Below are 19,024 nucleotides of genomic sequence, written 5' to 3'. Positions count from 1 at the left end.
AGTTTTTGTTGATACTAATGAATAAGGTTTGAATATTCTAATTTTGGCTTATTTGGGGGTAAGAAAAACTGTAAAGTTTAGCCACACTTTGCTTGGTGTTTGTTTTATTTTAAGTAGAAAATTTTACATTTGCCTAATAACCTTTGCTGGGCAATGGATAAGGTAAAAAGAGTCTAATTATCTTTCATAAAGTACTTTTTCTCTGCTTCTGTTGAGGCCTAAAATACATGGGGAAGAAAAACATATGAAATCTGCCATTCTTAAGTATATAGCTTGATGAGTTTATACACACACACACATACGCACACCTGTGTAACCACATTCAAGAGCAAGCTAGACAATATTACATCCATCGAGGATAAAATTCTCTCATTTACCTCCTGGTCAACACCTCCCCTATGGATCACACTCTTCTGATGTCCATCACTGTAGATTAGTTTTATCTATTCCTTCCCCGCCAGCCCCCTCCGCCCCAAGATGGTATCTCACTCTGCCACCCAGGCTGGAGTGTGATTGCATGATGACAGGATGACAGTTCACAGCAGCCTCAACCTCCCAGGCTCAAGCGATCCTCCCACCTGAGCCTCCCTGTTTTGTCTATTCTTGAATTTTAAGTATAACCAAACAGGATGTACTCTTTTGTGTCTGGCTTTTATTCAGCGTAAATTTTTTAGAGTCATCTGTGTTGATGCATCTATCAATAGGTAGTTCTTTTTGTATTTTTTCTGAGTAGGACTCCATTACCACAATTTGTTTATCCATTTTGTAAATAGCTATGTGGGTGTGTTCTAGTTTGGGTTCTTACAAATAGACCTGCTGTGAATACTCATTCACAAGTCTTTTGGTGGACATTTGCAGTATTTTGCCAAGGAACAAATCTGAGACTAGAATTGTTAGGCCATAGGGGAGCCAAACAGTTTACAAAACTGAATGCATATGTGTACACTTTTGCTAGCAATAGAGTTGTAGTTGGAGTGCACATTTTCATCAGCACTTGATATTAGTCTTTTTCGCTTTAAGCCCTCTGGTGGGTTTGAGGTGATATCTCATGGCTTCATGGTCTCATGGTTTTCATGTGCATTTCCTTGATGATTTCATGACTTTTCTATGTATCTTTTAATGCTGTCTTTTGGTGTCTTAATGAAATCCAGTTTATCGGGTTTTTAGTGGTTTGTCTTTTGTCCTGTTTAAGAAATCTTTGTCTATCCCTCAATCATGAAGATATCAATTTTATTTTTACATTTAGATCTGTGACCCATTCCATCATCTATCTCAAATTAATTTCTGTATGATGTGAGATAAGGGTCAAGGTTAATTTTTTTCAGGATCGAGATTTAATTGCTCTAGAATCTTTTGAGGAATTTTTCTTTCCCTCCATTGAATTGCATGGTGCCCTTGTTGAAAATCAAGTGCCTGAGTATGTGTGTCTGTTTTTGAACTCTAAGTTCTATATCCTTGTTCTGTTCGTCTACCTCATGATCGAAGATGGCTAGCCAAGTTCTAGCTATGATGTCTGTATTTCAGTCAGAAAAAAAAAAAAAAAAAAGGGAATAAATAAGACTCTGCTCCTGCTTCAAGGACAATTCCCAGAATTTGCACATGACATTTCTGCCTACATCTTGTCAGTAACGTGACAACCTTTATCTTCAAGGGACATTGGAAAATGTTTTCATTCTGGGGAGTCATGTGCCCATTTAAAATTCAGAGATTATATTACAAAGAAAGAAAGGAAGAATGGATATCAGAGAAAATTGGCAGTCTTTGCCATACTTTCTGTTTACAAGCGCTTTGTAGGTGCTTAATAAACGTTCATTTGATTCAATTTCATCTACTTCTCATTGAAGCCTTCTTGGTCAACTTTTGCTTGTAATCATACATGCAGACATCGCAGCTCTGTGATAGGATTCTCCCAGATCCACCTAATAAGAAGCGTGCCCTGTAGTAATGGGGTCAGCTACTTCCTAGTGAGAGAAATGTCCAGACCTTGTTAAAGTTCTCTCAAATCACCCCATGTTTCTTCTTTATGTGACACCATTGTGATCATAACAGTTCAGAGAAAATGAGACCCTAAATCAAGAAAATTTAAAGCACGATGTGGCTCAGCAGGTCACAAAATAGAGTGGACGATGGTGGGAGGGTGACCAGGTTAAACCGTTTTTGGTTTTGGTTGAGCTCCTGACCATCCTTTATCCTTGATATTTTTGGAAAAAAGATTAGAGGTCTAGATTTCAGTTCTTCTCTTTGCTTTAACTTTATGGCTGGCCACCATTAATATAGCCAGTAATGTAGGTATTTTATGGAAATACTTATTATTACTGGGCTTTGAAACAAAAACCTCTGTTTTATAATTAAGATTTGAGCCCATCAAGTGTTAAATTTTCTCTTTCATCCCTGGAAAATATATTATGAAACATGTAGAAAGGGTGATCTTTCTTCCTTTAGTCTTCAGGAAAAAAAAAATCCTTATATTTCAGATTTGAAACATTTTATATAAGCATATATATCATAATAGTGTTTGAATTTTAAGTGGTATGAGTATCTTATGACAGTATAGCTTTTAAAGCTATTTAACTTAGAAAACATTCATAAATTTATTCAACAAATATTTATAGGAGGTAAACATAATTTCAAACTTTGACTAAAATGGTTCGCACCTAAATACAAAGTATAGAAATCTGTTTAAATTATGTAGTTTAGAATCATGTTTCCTTGGCTTAACTTATTCCTCAAATTAGTTTAACATTTATCCCCTTTCCAAAGCAAAGCAAAAAAACCCCCAAAAAACCATAACAACAAAACAACAAAAGCCAAAAATTATGCATCATTTATTGAATGATATGAAAAGGGTAGCTTGATACGTGCATACAAATAATCTGCATAATACTGAAGTTTAAGCTTTTTATTAATTAACTTTAAGGATAAATTGAAAGGGACCTTGCTTTATTGTGAATATTTTCTGTGTTGACCACTTGTTGTGAATCATTTTATTTAATTGTTCCAACAACCTGAGAATAGTTTTATCTCCTTTGTACAAATAAGAAAATTTTGGCTGAGAAAGAATGAAGCCTTTCCCAATATCAGACAGTTAATAAGTAATACAGCAAGCATTTGACCTCTGATTACTTGGATTCTGAGCACAGGGTGCCTGCTCTTTGTGATGGTTCTATCTTATTGTCTCTTAATTGTTCCCATTAGATGATGACAAGATAGAGGCATCACTGAGAGATGTGACATAGTCCAATTACCTCCGTGAGTTCAGAAAATCTGAAATTAATGCAAATTTGCTAAGAGCAAACACATCAGAAACTGACATGTATTATAATGAGAATTTTAATTGGATTAAAGCCCCACTCTTAAGACATCATTTAACCTTAATTACCTCCCTGATGGCCCTATCTCCAAATACAGTCACATTAGGGTTTGGGTTTTCAACATTTGAATTTTGAGGACACATTTGAATCTGTAACAGTGGATTTTCCAGAAACGCAAGCAGGAATAAAATGTTGGGACCGAATATGAGCTGCTCCAGTGGTCACACTGCTGTCTCTCATCATCTTCCATACATTTTTTTGCGAATAATAGTAGTATTTATAATGCCATTAGTTTCATTTCGTTCCTACTTGAGATTTCAAGAGCTACTGTGAAGTAGGGCTGCCTTGTTAAATCTGTCCGCACTTCTGCAGAGTGTAAAATCAGTGTCATACGCTTTAATGGTAATACCTTGTCACATTCAGAGATGTTTAAAACTGCAATCTAGAAAATTGCTTTTAAACAGCGGAGGAAAGATGTTCATATTCTCAGATGACACAGTGCAGAACATGTGGACATCCCATGCACTGTGAAGTCTTAAAATTTACAATATATAGGAAAATTCCTCGTTTTTCTGACACCTTTCTGAGATTATTAAAATAATACAGATCCAAACCTAGTATTTCCCACATTGTAAGTTATAAATTTCACGAGTATACTTTAGGGAGTCCCTGGTCCATAACAATTTTGAAATCCTTCAAAACCTGGAGAGTAAAATGCTTCTTGATTAGGCCCTGATTCTACCTTCTTGTTCATCATTTTCAGAAGTACTGGCCTTGCCCCTAGGGAGTTCTTTTCTTTTTTTTTTTTTCCTTAGCCATATATGAAGTGAACATTTGAGAATTTGCCCTAGTTGGGAACTGAGCAAACCTTTCTATCCTGCATATAGAGTACTGGGGGCCAAAGGATCGTTTTAAGACTTCAGCTGATAGTCTTATTCTTTTCGGCAGCACAGTGCTCTCCAAAATTTGGAAGCTTTCTTATCTGTTTGTCTCCAGTCAATTCTGTGTGCTAGTAAACACAGCCCTAGAATTTTCTTTTGTCATGCATGAGTCCTGGTTTTCAGATTTGCTACATTGATTTGCATTCTCACTCCCATAGCTGTCTTTCTGGTCCTAAAGGAAGTTATCTTGGGACTGGCTGGCTTCTATTGGAAAGCTTTACTTTTAATCTGATCTATTCTCTCAGTCATTTTATCCACATGAAAAGATTTAACGGATATATTATCTATCCTTGTCCTGAGACAATTTAGTTTTTTTAAAAAAAAGTTTTCCTTGGCTAATGATCTTCAAAGTCTTACCTTTAACTGTTAGTGTAGGGGTGGAGAAGAAGTTAGTTTTTGTAGTTGCAAAATCTGAAATGTCTGCCGTCTCCTCACTCCCTTTCACTTCCTGGAAACCGGATAGTTCTTTTCTAAGCTCAGCTCTTTCTTGAAATACTTTGTCAAATGAAGCCAATAATAACCAATACACATGTCAATTGTGTGTGTGTGTGTGTGTGTGTGTGTGTGTGTGTGTGTTTTGTTTTGTTTTTTGTTTTTTTGTTTTCAGACAGAGTCTAGCTCTGTCACCTAGGCTGGAGTGCAGTGGCGCGATCTTGGCTCACTGCAAACTCTGCCTCCCTGGTCCAAGCAATTCTCCTGCCCCAGCCTCCTGAGTAGCTGGGATTACAGGCACCCACCACACCCAGCTAATTTTTCTATTTTTAGTAGAGGTGGGGTTTCACTGTGTTGGCCAGGCTGGACTCGAACTCCTGACCTCATGATCCTCCCGCCTTGGCCTCCCAAAGTGCTGGGATTACAAGCGTGAGCCACCGCACCCGGCCGTTTTCTGTTTTTTTCTGTGTGTGTGTTTGTTTGTTTGTTTTTTTGAGATGGAGTCTCACTCACTCTGTCACCCAGGCTGGAGTGCGGTGGCAGGATCTCGGCTCACTGCAACCTCCACCTCCCAGGTTCAAGTGATTCTTCTGCCTCAGCTTCCCGAGTAGCTGGGATTACAGGCACGCGCCACCACACCCAGCTAATTTTTGTGTTTTTAGTAGAGATGAGGTTTCACCATGTTGGCCAGGCTGGTCTTGAACTCCTGACCTCAAGTGATCCACCTGCCTTGGCCTCCCAAGGTGCTATGAGCCACCTCGCCCAACCATATTTCAATTGTTTTTTCTTACCTCTTCTCCTAGAGCTACAAGTAAATTTGACAGGAGATCTGCCTCCTGAACTAGCAGAGGCAAATGTTTTACCAGATATGTTGCCACTGTATAAAACACATCACTATCTTTCTGGCCCTTGAGATCACTTTCCTTGCTACCTGCTGACCGCTAAACCAAGGTCATATATTTTAGGTTTTTGCTAAAACATCCTACTTCTGGTACCAATTTCTATGTAGTCAGGATGGGCTAACATTATGTTGTGCTAACAAGCCATCCCCAAACCTCAGTGGCTTCATTCAAAAACAGTTTATTTTTTGCTTACAATAAACATCCACTGTGGACTTGCAGAAGACTATGCTTCACACAGAAAGACTCAAGCCTGTGATTGTACCACCTTTGTCATTGTACACTTTCTGGAACACTTGGCCTTCTCAGCCACTGTGGTTCAAAAAAAGAATATTCAATGGTTTTTCCTCAGTAATCAACTTTTTATTAAAGTCTAGAACTAATCTCATGCCCCTCCTAACTATACGGGGGTAGAGTTCAAGCCAGGATATAAATAGAAACACTTTTACCATACATCTAAATATTTATAAGTTATAAGTTATGCAGACCAACTAAGTTCAAAGCTAACCAACGAAGTCCAAAATATATCTTTCCTTGACCACTTTACCTCATATTTCCTGGAAAACCATGTTTGAATGTGGACTTTTTGGAGCCTGTACCTCTAGAACATGGCACTGGAGAGCAAGCTGGCTACTAGGCCCTGGCCTGTCTTCCCTTCTCTTAATGTTCTGGGATCACTCTGCCCACTATGTCCACATCTCCTGCAAACAGACACCCCTTGGCCACCCCTTGGGTCTAGGTACTGCATATAACAGGGCACAGTCTGCCCTTAAAAACACAGATCTAGGAAAGAGCCTGTGCAGTTCCTGGTTAGCAGGCTTGAAGCTCTTTGGACAAGGAATGCCATGGTTCTGGGAACCAGGAGCATAGCCTAGGAGAGGGAGTGTAGGCCTGGGTGGGCACCTTCCCCTTAGGCCTTTGGACTCCTCATGATAAAGGAAATGGTGCAGCTAGAGAAAGGCCAGAATGGAACATGGATCCTAAGGCAGAGCTCCACTCACCTGGGTTAAGGGCAGTGCTGAGCGAGTGCAATGTCTGAATACCTAGAAAACCAGACAGGTTATGGGATAAGCACATAACTCTGTTCCGCACCTCATGCTCACCAATTTGGCTTCCATGGTAGAACTAGGGAGGGAAGATGCCCTAATCACCAAAATTCAGTATCACGGCCCCCCAGTGCCATGTTCTAGAGGTACAGACTCCAAGAAGTCCACATTCAAACATGGTTTTCCAGGAAATATGAGGTAAATTGGTCAAGGAAAGATATATTTTGGACTTGGTTGGTTAGCTTTGAACTTAGTTGGTCTGCATAATTTATAACATAAATATTTAGATGTATGGTAAATTAAAATCCTCATCATAAAGTTCCATTATGATATATAAGTCAGTTTCTGAGGTGTTTCTTCATAGCAAATTTGCATCAGTTCTAGGTTTTCCAACCTTGTGGACATAATGGGACAATGTCACATCTGTCAGAGTGATGCCCCTATCTTGCCATCATCTAATGGAAACAACTAAGAAACAATGAAATGCTTATTATCTGTCTGATGTTGGGAAAGGTTTTATTCTTTCTCCGCCACAATTTTCTTATTTGTACAAAGGGGCTAAAGCCACCTATTCTCATGTGGTTGGAACAATTAAATAATTGACACCAAGTGGTCAACACAGAAAACATTCATAGGCAAAGCAAGGTCCTTTTTCTCAATTAAAAATAATGAAAAACAATGAGATATTCTAAGGAATGTGTCTGATATATAATGCAGCGGCATGACACAAGGGAGGAAAGAGGGGTTGGGTCCCGGGAAGATGAAGTCTTTAATATCCTGAAAAGAGTGCCTTGGGGCAGCTCTGGGCTCTTGCATATCTTGAAGGGAAGGTACGTTTTTACTATCTCAACCTAGTAATCTCTCTTGAGCCTCAGTGTCCTGGTTTTTAAAATGAGGATAATAAGAATTGCTTTGATGACCTTGATAAAGATCTTTTGATAGAGTGGTAGAGATAAGAGCCTGGGGAATGGGTTGGAAAGTGAGTGGGAGGTAAGGAAATGGGGATTATCTAAGTTTTCTGTTCTTTTCAGAAGTTTGTCTGAGAAAGGGTGGGAGTATAGTGGGACCAGGAGGTCAATGAAGGTTTTGTTCTTTAAAAATTGAGGAATATCAGCCGGGCACGATGGCTCACACCTGTAATCCCTGCACTTTGGGAGGCCAAGGCGGGCGGATCCCGAGGTCAGGGGATGGAGACCATCCTGGCCAACATGTTGAAACCCCGTCTCTAATAAAAATACAAAAATTAGCTGGGCATGGTGGCACATGCCTGTAATCCCAGCTACTTGGGAAGCTGAAGCAAGATAATCGCTTGAACCCGGTAGGCGGAGGTTGCAGTGAGCTGAGATCATGCCACTGCACTCCAGTCTGGCAACAGAGCGAGACTCCATCTCAAAAAAGAAAAAAAAAAAAATTGGGGAATATCAGAGCATAGTATGTGTCGATGACAAGTATCTTTAGTAAAAAGGGAGAAGATAATGTATAAGAAATTTTGAATAGAGAGGTGGAGTTGGCCTCTGGTTTTAGGGAGGGTGCATCCTCCTGTGGATATGGGGAAGTTTCTGAGTTTAGAGATAGAAGGCAGAGATGCCCTATCCAACAGCTTTTGTTTTCTCACAGAAGCATTAAGTAGGGATGTTAACAGAGAGATGTTATGTGTTAAGTATTAGGAGTGGGGAAGGCAATTGGAAGATAGGAGAGAAGGTGTGAAATGAAATGACCAAAGATTAGGGAAATGTTGCATAATTGTTGGGCAGTTTCTAGAACCCAAGTGAATTTGAGTTGGCAGAGTTAGAGTGTATGTATGTTTACCCATGGATACATATATGGAGAGAGAAAGAGAGATTGATTACAAAGAATTGACCCTGATGATTATGAAGGCTGAGAAATCCCACAGTCAACTGTCTGCAAGCTGGAGACTCGGGAAAGCTGGTGGTGTGATTCTGGTCCAAGGCTGAACGCCTGAGAAGCAGAGGAACCAGGGGTATAAATCCCAGTCCAAGGACAGGAGGAGACTGATGTCCCAGCTCAGGCAGGCAGGAAGAAAAGGGGGTGAATTCCTCCTCCTTCCACCTTTTTGTTCTATTCGGGCCCTCAGTGGATTGGATGATGCCAGCCCATATTTGGGAGGGTGGTATGCTCCGAACTCCACCAACACAAGTGTTGATTTCATCCAGAAATACCTGCATGGACGTAGCCAGAAATAATGTTTAACCTGGCACTTGTGGCACAGTCACGTTGACACAATTCACTGTCATATCACACTCTCCAGGGATGAGAACTCATCTCTGAGTCCTCCCTGCATTTCTACTGTAGTAGCCTTTCCACTCTATTGTTTCTGTGCGTTTTTAATGTCCCCTGGGGCACCCCCAGACACACTGAGCTGCCTATCTGGGCTTTCCAAGTTATCCCTGAGGTATGCATTATTATTTGGTTAGCGCTGTGATTACAAAAGTGCATAGGTTTTGAGTGGTCTACTCTGAATTTTTCTCCCTCTGTTATTTTTGGTGTGAGATTTTGCAGACCATGAGTTATTTCAAACATACGTGACCTGTCTTCATGTCTATGTAAGGGCATTGCAATGAACTGAATGTGTGTGTCCCCCCAAAAGCCATGTGTTGAAACCCTAATCCTAATGAAATGGTATTTGAAGGTGGGGCCTTAGGGAAGAAATTGGGCCATAAGGGTGGAGCCCTCAGGAATGGGATTAGTGCCTTTATAAGAAAAGGACAGAGAACTAGCTGGCTTTTCTTCCTACCTTGTGAGGATAGGAGAGCCAGCAGTAGACAGTTGGAGGAGGTTCCTCACCAAAACCTGCCCATGCTGGCACCATGATCTCAGACTTCTCCCCTCCAGAACTGTGAAAAATAAATGTGTCAGCCATCCAGTCTATGGCACTTTGTTATTACAACCTGAACTGACCAAGGCAGGCATGGTCAGTTTTTAGAATTTTCAAATGCTTTCATGTAAAACAATAAAGGATATCATCTTCCTGGCAGATAAATGCAATTCAAAGGAAAGTGCCCACAGTAGCCCCTGATGCCAGGTCTTGCCTTTCAGGGAAGATCTTGGTTTCCTCCTCCAGAACCTCTGATGAAGTGGAGCCAACCTACCATTAACTCTGCTGTGATTGTACTCATCACTGCCAAGGGCATTTATGGGATGTTCGTGCATGGCTATTATTTGTAAACTAAGTTATACAGATATAGTCTTTATCCTCTAAGAATTTAACAACTTAAAAACAGTGACATAAACATAAATGTTACAGCTGAGGTGATACACAAACTTGAAAAATTTAGTTAATCTTGTAGGATGTTCTAGAATGGTGAACCACTGAGGAACCATACAGGTCATACCGTACACCACCAGATGACTGTGTTTAGCCGCAGAGGAAGAGTGATGTTAGTTTAGGCATAATCGTTATTACTTACCAAGACTTACTGGACAAACATCACTGGGAATGGAAAAGTGTTTCTCAGTTTTTATCTTATATGTATGGGAAAAGCTTGGCAGACAAGATAGAAAGGTTATTCTAAATAAACAATATGCTTTTAGAAAGATATGAGAAACAAGTCATGTTAAACTTCAAGGAGGCTTTGTATATGTATTTCCCTGGGAGAAGAATTGGAGATAAATGAGGAATTCTGATTTTTCTTCATTCTTAGAACGTTGACATCTATTTTGTCCCATGTTTTAGACAGAGTTTTCAGAGAAAATTAAGGTTACCATCTGCCTTGTATTTACTTAAGAAGACCAGGACACAGTGTTTTCTTGAAATAATAATGCTTATAAAAGTCTTAACTCTAGGAGCCATTGAAAAGAGAGCTGTATCCAATGTCCCCTGAGTCTGTCACGCTGGCCCAGCCACGGACAGCTGGCTTCTTGGTGAAGAAGGGCAAACAGGCATCGTAGGGTGGTGTCTGAAAAGGAGAGGGTTTCCTTCACCCTGATCTTTTGCTTACCCACCTTTAAGAAAATGTGAGTTTTTACTTTGGGAGGCCAAGGTGGGAGAATCTCTTGGGCCCAGGAATTCAAGACTAGCCTGGGCAATATAGTGACACCTTGTCTCTACCAAAAAAAAAAAAAAAAAAAAAAAGCCAGTGTGGTGGCACATGCCAGATCTTGCCTTTCAGGGAAGATCTTGGTTTCCTCCTCCAGAACCTCTGATGAAGTAGAGCCAACCTGCCATTAACTCTGCTGTGTTCGGAGGCTGAGGTGGGAGGATCAATTAAGCCCACGAGATCAAGGTTGCAGTGAACCTTGATCACGTCACCACACTTCAGTCTGGGTGACAGAGACCCTGTCTCTAAATAAATAAATAAATAAATAAAAGCCTTGAGTAACTGGGGGAGATTATAAAGCTAGTTAAAATCAATTAATAGTGATTTCTAGAAATCTCGTAAGATGTAAGCATTTTAATTTAAAGGTTTCTTTTTAGCTACCTTTTAACTGAAAATGTTTTTAATATATTTCAGTGTTAACGAAGTAATGAATTAACTTCCCTCCCAGAAAGTCAAGAATAATAGCATGTATCTTCCTGTGGAAGATGAACTTCAGAGCTCCATTTCCCTAGTTCCTATGTATAACTTGGTTATACGCACACCAAACCATGCTAATAATGCATTCTCCTCCCCTGGCTGCCTCTTGAACTTAGATCATCCAGGAGACGTCTGTAAAATTAGCACTGTAAAGAAAGCCTCGCCAGGGTATTTGGGGCAGCATATCAATGGCTTATTGAGCAGGCGCCTTTTAAGCACTGTTGAATGATAGGCAAAACTGTCACAGCTATGCATAAATGTGCTGTGTAGTTTCACAGAAGAGAATATTAGTCCTCAGTAATAATGCTATATTATTAAGCTAATAAACCTACAGAAAGTTTGTCACAATAGGTGTCTGTCAAATTACTATAATCTGAACATGATCTTTGGAGTTTTAGATGTCTCTATTGGCTGAAGAGCCTAATTTTGAAGCTTTTATCTGTTCAAAAATTTCAGTTCTCCCATCATCATCTCTGCTCAATTGAATATGTCTTTTTCAAGAGTAATCTTGACTATGTATAAACTGCTGCCTGTCAATCCCCAACGAATGTTAAGACTATCTTTTTAGGGCTGGTGAACAGTTTGTTGCTATAATATAAAGTCTTTTCTGCATGTCCCAACCTTTGTTTTTGGCAATTTCCTATGATTTCATGCTTGAATAAAATACTCCTTCCATTTTACACATCATTGCTTTGGACATTTTCCTTGTTGAATTCTGGTATGTTAAAATGAAGCTTACCAATAATTAGGTGATTTATTTGTCATAGCAATGAATGATGACATCAAAACATCTTGACTTTATCATGGGTTTCCTTGAGGGATGGTAGAGTCTGGGTGCCCAGAGTCTGGTCCCAGGTTCCAGGATTTGCCACTTGCTAGTTGTTTGACTTCAGGCAACTTGTAAACCTCTTGGTGCCTCAATTTTCTCCTGGGCCAAACAGGGTCAATGTGCATACATCAAAGGTTTGGTAAAAGGATTAAATGATATATATATATATATATATATATATATAATTTTATATATATATAATTTGATATATATGTGTATATATATCTTTTATATATATGTGTGTGTATACACACACACACACACACACATAATAATATATAATATGTAGCTTGGCCGATGGTAAGCACTCAGAGGTTTCTTGTTAGTAATATATTGAAAATATGGAATCTGTGAGTGCAGACAACATTTCTGACTCCCTTACTTTTTGCGTTTTGATTTTTGAAATGAGTGATCTATGCCATGCTAACAATGAGAAAAACTTCTCCCTGGAGAAGGTATTCCTTAAACTAAACCTTTAATGCAGAAAACTAAAAGTATTCATTCAAGATTTGACATATAGGAAGTAGTAGTAGTAGTAGTAGACATAGAACTATGGACAAGGAATGAAATACTTTTTGTAAATGGCTGTTATTATTTTAGTGTTAAAAATAGATGTGCAATGGGTCAGGGGCAGAAAGAGATTTTGGCAAAGGAGGTGGTGTGTGATTGTAAAAGGGCAACATGATGGATCCTTGTGATGGAACTGTTCAATATTTTGACTAGTGGTAGATATGTGAGCCTACACATGTGATAAAACTATAAAACACACTAATACAATTAAATGGGAAATCGCGATAGACTAGTAGATGGTATTAATATAAACATATCGGTTGTGATATTGTACTGTTGTTTTGTGAAATGTTACTATTGTGGGAGACTGAGTAAAGCCTCTTTTAAAATTGCATATGAACCTACAGTGATCTCAAAATTATAATTAACAAATGCATGTGCAAATATTATACAAAACTAGTAATTTTTATTTTTGTTTGCAGATTGTTCCTGCCTGATTCATAAACATCGTGATTGGCTTTTGTAAGCTGATATTTCAGTTTCTTTTATCCTCTTCCCCCAATACCTTGTCTTCTCTAATAACTTGATAATGGTTTTTTAGAGCTCCTAGAGCAAAAATTGGAGCAAAACTTTTTTGTTATTTGGTTCTTAAATTATTTTAAAGTCTGTCTCACTTTTTCTGGTACTCTTAGATAATAGTTATTTTGATAATGATTTTTGAAGTACATGTCTTGGCCTAGGGGCATTTGTTTCCTTATAGTGACTTCTTATCAGAGTTATGGTTAGTGGGAGCAAAGGGCAGAGCTGAGGTTGTATATAGATGCAGACGTCCTGTTGGGCATTAGTCTTCCTCCAAAACATATTTATGTATCTTTGTTTTTAAATAGTCTATGAAGTGTCATTTTTACGGAGGAGAATTGAAATATACTAAACCAATTTTAAATACATCTTTGAGAAGTTATTTTCTGAGATGGTTTTGTTTTTCATCATCTTAGCAGGAGAGGAGAATATTGTTACAAAGTAACTTAACAAGGATTTGCATTCTCTGACAGATTCTAAGTCTGTATCTTGAATCTTGTTCTAGCAGGTTCTGTTTCACCTCTTTTGAAGCCACCAAGAAGACACGCACCTCTAATACAGTCTTCCCGATAGTACCTACCTTGGCATACTCATTCCTTAGGATGTTAACTGATATTATATGGAAAATGAGCATATGGTCATTTAAATTTGGGAAAAAAGCTGAGTTAAAATCAAATTAGACTTGTTTGTTTCCAACAAGTGATTATCGATGGCCTTTGGTCTGTGGTGTTTCTCCAGCATATTTCACCATACAACCCCTACCTCACCAAATATACCATTGAACTGGTGCTCCACAGAAAAGTTTGAGAAATTTTGCTTTAGAATTTAGGAAACTGATATAAATGACAGAATTAATTGTACATTTTTCAGAATGATAGTGAAAGAGAAGAAGGACATTTGAGCAGAACGCAAGTTGGACCATAAAAGGACAGTTGGATTAGCTTAAAACAGCTGACTTGGAGTTAGGCCTAAATCATTATTATAAATATAGTTATAAGACAACATAAAAATTTAAAATCTGGAAAGTAAAAATACATCATTGTTCCTTATTCCTTGAAGATTCAGGAGCTGTCCTTCCCTGTAAGACTAATGTGTCCTAATTCTTGGTGATTTTCAGGCTTCGTAGAGTCTTAACAGCCTGGCTTCTCGGTTTCTTGATTTCCTCTCCTTCAATGACCTTGTCTTCCAAACCACATTAGCAACTTTCTCCCATAGTCATACTGTGGGCCTAGTCATTAATAAGAACTGCTCTCACTCCATGATCTTGAGTCCCAGCACCCCATTCTCCATCTGTCCTCCCACTCCAACACATTTTTAACTCCACCTAGACATACAACTTTTACACTGCAGCACACTTCCTTCATATCTCACATCCTCCCTTACTCAACGTCAATAGCCTACCCTCTCATTAAAATCACTCATCCACTCATCTTCTCTGTCCCTCCCCTTTGCTTTGTTGTACTTAGCCATCTATATCCCAGTGCCTTTGTTTGCTGATTCCATGCCTGCAGCAGTGCAGCTGAACGTAGCTGGAGAAAGATACCCAGCCATGCTCAATTTAAAGCTTACCCTTGTACTTATATTCTTAGTCCCATCTCCTCTCACCTGCTCAAGGATATAGCTACAGTAGTTGTCCCTTCTCTCTCCTGCATCATGCATTCCCACCTCCCTGCTTTACTTAAAAAAATTATTTAACTCCCATTCCTCTCTACTTACTACCCCATTTAATGTCCCTGCTTCCTTTTACACAATTTCTCAGTTCTGTCTGGGCATTCCACCAAAGTTCTCAAGTGTCACCAGCGACCTTCATATTGCAAACTCAACCATTAATTCTCAGTCTGTATCTTCCTTGACCTGTCAGAAGCACTGACCCCACTGATCATGCTGCTCTGTGAAGTATGTTCTTCTCTTGTCTTCTGAGTCTGCACACTTTCCCAACTGCCTTCCTATTGCATGTGACTACTCTTATCTTTCTTGCAGTTACATCCTCATTGTCCTGACCTCCAAACATTGGCTGTCCCTGAGCACAGTCTCTGTACTTGTCCTCTGTCGATTCTCACTCCCTAGCTGCTCCCATTCATTTTTATGGCTTTAAATACATATATGCTGGCAGCTACTAAATTGTCTCCAGTATGGACCTCTTCTCTAAACTCCAGATTAAAATATCCAATTGCTGGATGTCTAATAGGCATATCAAACCTAACATGTCTGCACCTGAGCTCCTGAGTTCTTCTCTGTTCCCAACCAAACTTCCTTCATCCTAAGTAGCCATTTACCGAGATGAGGAAGACTCTTCTTCCAGTTGCACAGGCCAGGTGCCTTTGCAGCATCCTCATTTCGTCTCTCTCACCCTCTACACATTCAGCTGTCAGGAGATACTGTCAGCCCCACCTTCCATAAATCCAGAAGGTGACCACTTCTCCCCAGCTCTTCTGCTACTGCACTGGTGCACGCCTTCATCATCTCTTTATAAGAGTAGCCTTCTAACTGGTCTCCCTGGTTTCATACTTTCTCCCCTAGAATTCACTCTCCACACAACAGCCCGATAAATTATTTAAAACTGTTAAGTCTGATCGTGTTACTTTTCTGCTCCAGTGTCTCCAGTCCTTCCCATCTCGCTTACGGAGGCTTATCATCTCCTATGTGCTATGGGTCCCATTACTTCTGGCCTAATCTTTTACCGCTTCCCTTCACTGACTGCTTTAGCCATACCAGTTTTCTTGTTTCTGCATCGAGTTTTGCAATTATTGTACCCAGAAATAGCCACATGACTTACATCCTTACCTCCTTCAGATCCTCCCTAAATTGTCATCCTCTCACCCATGCCTTTTTCCCTGACCAGCCTGTTTTAAATTGACACTGTTTTCACTGCTAAATCTCTTAGCACTTCCTGTCTCTTCATTACTTTTTTTTTTAAAATCACCATCTGATACATATTTTACTTGAGCTTTGTTATGGGATACAGTTAAGCTACTAGAAACAATTAATTCAAAGATAAGCTTAATTCATTGGTGCGCTTCACAAGGGTAGGAATTTTTGCGTGTTTTGTTCACAGTGGTGAATCCCCAGCACCTAGAACAATGCCAGGAAAAACAACCACTCAATAAATGCTGGTTTAATGAAAAAGAAAAATCTTAAAAACCAAGTCCACCATATATATCCCACAAAGATAGGAAAGTGGGATTGGGGAAAGGGATGCTATAGTAGTTTGACTTTGCTTATTACACCCTTCTCTAGTTGCTGACTGATCATAGAATTGGGTAAATGGCTTGAGCTGGGACAATTTATTGTAAATATAAAGCACTAAGGCAAATATAAAGGATTGGAACTTCGTACTGAGAGGACCTCTGCTTCCAGCCATCTTGTAATAACAGGAACTGGAGTTATTCTCTCGCCTAAAATAGCCTAACAAACCGACACACACAAAAAGCCCATAAAACATATGAAACAAAGGCATTCCGACATTGGACAAGTGGCACGAGACAGTGAACCCTGAGAGAAGGAAAAAACAAATGATTTGCCCCAGGCTGCAGTGCAGGAAGGCAGAACCCAAACACAGCTTATCCTAGGTTGAGATGATGGAGTTAGGAATTCTGGGAGGCTGAGGCAGCTAGAATTTGAAGGACAGAGTACCAGAGAAGAGAGAGTTAGTTACACAGAGAGTGAGCTCCAGAGATCTTCAGAGGGCTCTCCTGGAGGCTTCAGCCGAGTGCTGATTAGTGCATATGCATAAGAGAACTACCCATGGATGAGGAAAGAGGCACTGGGAAGAAGAAAGTAGCTCATATAAGGCAGTGAAGAGTGTGTCCCCCCCACCCCACCCCCACCATTCAGAGTGGAAAAACCTTGTATATAAGTGGGATTAGATGGTGTACTCAGAAGACTAATGCTTCAGCGATGAGGCAAAATTAGCCCTAGACTAGTCTAATCTGATCCTGCCTAAAAAATCTTAAAAGTAAGCCATTCAAGACAGGTCATAAAACTGTTTTGTAAAGGGCCAGATGGAAAATATTTTAGGATATGTGGGCCATGTAGTCTCTGTTTTAACTACTCACTTCTGCCCTTCTAGTGTTAAAACAGCCATAAACAATTTGTAAGCAAATGTATTTACATGTATCAGAATGTATTCCAATAAAATTTTATTTATAGAAATAGGCAGTGGTCCAGATTTGGCCTGTGGGCCTAGTTTGCAGACACTTGGTTTGAAGGATCAAATTGTTTGAAGTAGCTTAACTGTATCCCAGAACAAAGCTCAAGGATATTTAAGGAAATACAAAATATCCAGCACCCATTAATAAAGTATGCAATATGTAGCATTCAGTCAGAATTTACCAGATGTGCAGAGAAGCAGGAAAATTCAACAGTGAAGAGAAAACTCAATCAATAGAAACAGACCCAGAAGTGACACACATCTAATAAGTGGAGGTACTAAAATAAATTAAATAGATTTAATAAGGATATTCAAATAGTTATTGTTACTATGTTCCATATACTCAAGATGGTAGTGGAAAGCATAAGGTGGTTAAGAAAAGATGGAAGCTATAAAAAGACCTAAATTGAACTTCTAGACCTCTAGACATTTTATAAACACCTGAGTTGAAAAATACACTGGATAGGATTAAAATCCCAAAATACACTGCATAGCAATTATACAAAATGAGATACTGAATGGAAAAAAAAAAAAAAAAACTAGAAAAAAGTGAATAGCACATCAGTGAGCTGTGGGACAACTTGAAATGACCAAATATGTATGTAATTGGAGTCCCCAAAGGAGGGAGAGGACAGAAAATAAAGATATAATGGCTGAAGCCTTGCCAAATTTGATGAAAACAATAAATCCACAAATCTAAGTTAAATAAATATCAAGCAAGCACAAAAACATGAAGAAAACTACACCAAGGGACACCGTAATCAAATAGTTTAAAACCAGTAGTAAAGACAGATTTTAAAGCAGAGAAGAAAAAACTATACATTCAGAGGAACAAACATGACAGAAGGCTTCCTGTCAGAAGGAATGTAATCCAGAAGACAGTGGAAAGACACCTTCCAAGTAGTGAAAGCTAAAACTGTTAATCTAGAAATCTATAGTTGTGACAATATCTTTCAAAAAAGGTGAAACATGCAAGCACTTTCTTTGGTAGGAAAATAACAGGTGAAATAAAGACTTTTTCAGATGTACTAAAGCTGAAAGAATTAATCACCAGTAGACCCACAGTGTAAGAAATACTAAAGGAAATCTTTTTTTTTAAACTCTCACATTTATTGTCAGTTGATTTAATAAAGAAGGAAAATAATGCCAGATAGCAGTAAAGAGCACCAGAAATGGCAACCACCTAGGTAAATAAATACATACGATGATGATTATTATTAATATTTTTTAAAAGATGGTTTAAACAAAAATAGCAAATGGGGTATATAACATATAAAAGCAAAAGTTACAACAATAATTGCACAAAGGTCAGGTGAGGAAAAATATAACTATAAAGTTTTTATACTCTACATGAACTGGTATATCCCTTGGAAGTACACCATGGTAAGTTAAAGATATAACTATAAACTCTACAGCAACCACGAAGATATCAAAACATAGTTATAAGCCAAAGGAGATAAAACTAGAGAAAAATAATCAATTCAAAAGAAGAAAGAAAAGGAACAAAGAATAATTGAGGCAATTAGACAACAAATAACAAGATCGTACATTTCAGCCTAATCATGTCAGTAAGCATGTTAAGCATAAATGGTCTAACTGTCATAATTAAAAGGCAAAGAATGTCAGATTTAATACACATATTGGCCAGTCTGAAGGTAATGAGTTACCTCAATTGATTGTTCACAGTCAGATTTAATACATACAAAACGCTTTGAGAACTAACTATATGCTGCCTACAAAAAAATGCACTTCATGTGTAAAGACACAAATAGATTATAAGCTAACGGATGAA

The 19,024-nt window shown here is 38.8% G+C and overlaps 1 protein-coding gene across 24 annotated transcripts in view; it reads left to right on the top strand.

The window, feature by feature from the left end:
• Positions 1 to 19,024, top strand: part of PLAGL1 (PLAG1 like zinc finger 1) — a 124,300-nt gene that overhangs the window by 66,440 nt on the left and 38,836 nt on the right. For 7 of the 24 annotated variants that reach the window (NM_001289040.2, NM_001289043.2, NM_001080951.3 and 4 more), the window contains one exon: positions 12,986 to 13,025. The exons of the other annotated variants lie outside the window; for them this stretch is intronic. The gene's annotated coding sequence lies outside the window, so the exon portion shown is untranslated. The remainder of the gene's footprint in view (positions 1 to 12,985; positions 13,026 to 19,024) is intronic. 24 annotated transcript variants of the gene reach the window in all.

The sequence above is a fragment of the Homo sapiens genome, chromosome 6 (genome assembly GCF_000001405.40).
Source record: "Homo sapiens chromosome 6, GRCh38.p14 Primary Assembly".
NCBI lineage: Eukaryota > Metazoa > Chordata > Mammalia > Primates > Hominidae > Homo > Homo sapiens.
Note: the sequence above shows the minus strand (reverse complement) of the source record. Positions and strands in the feature narration are given on the sequence as shown.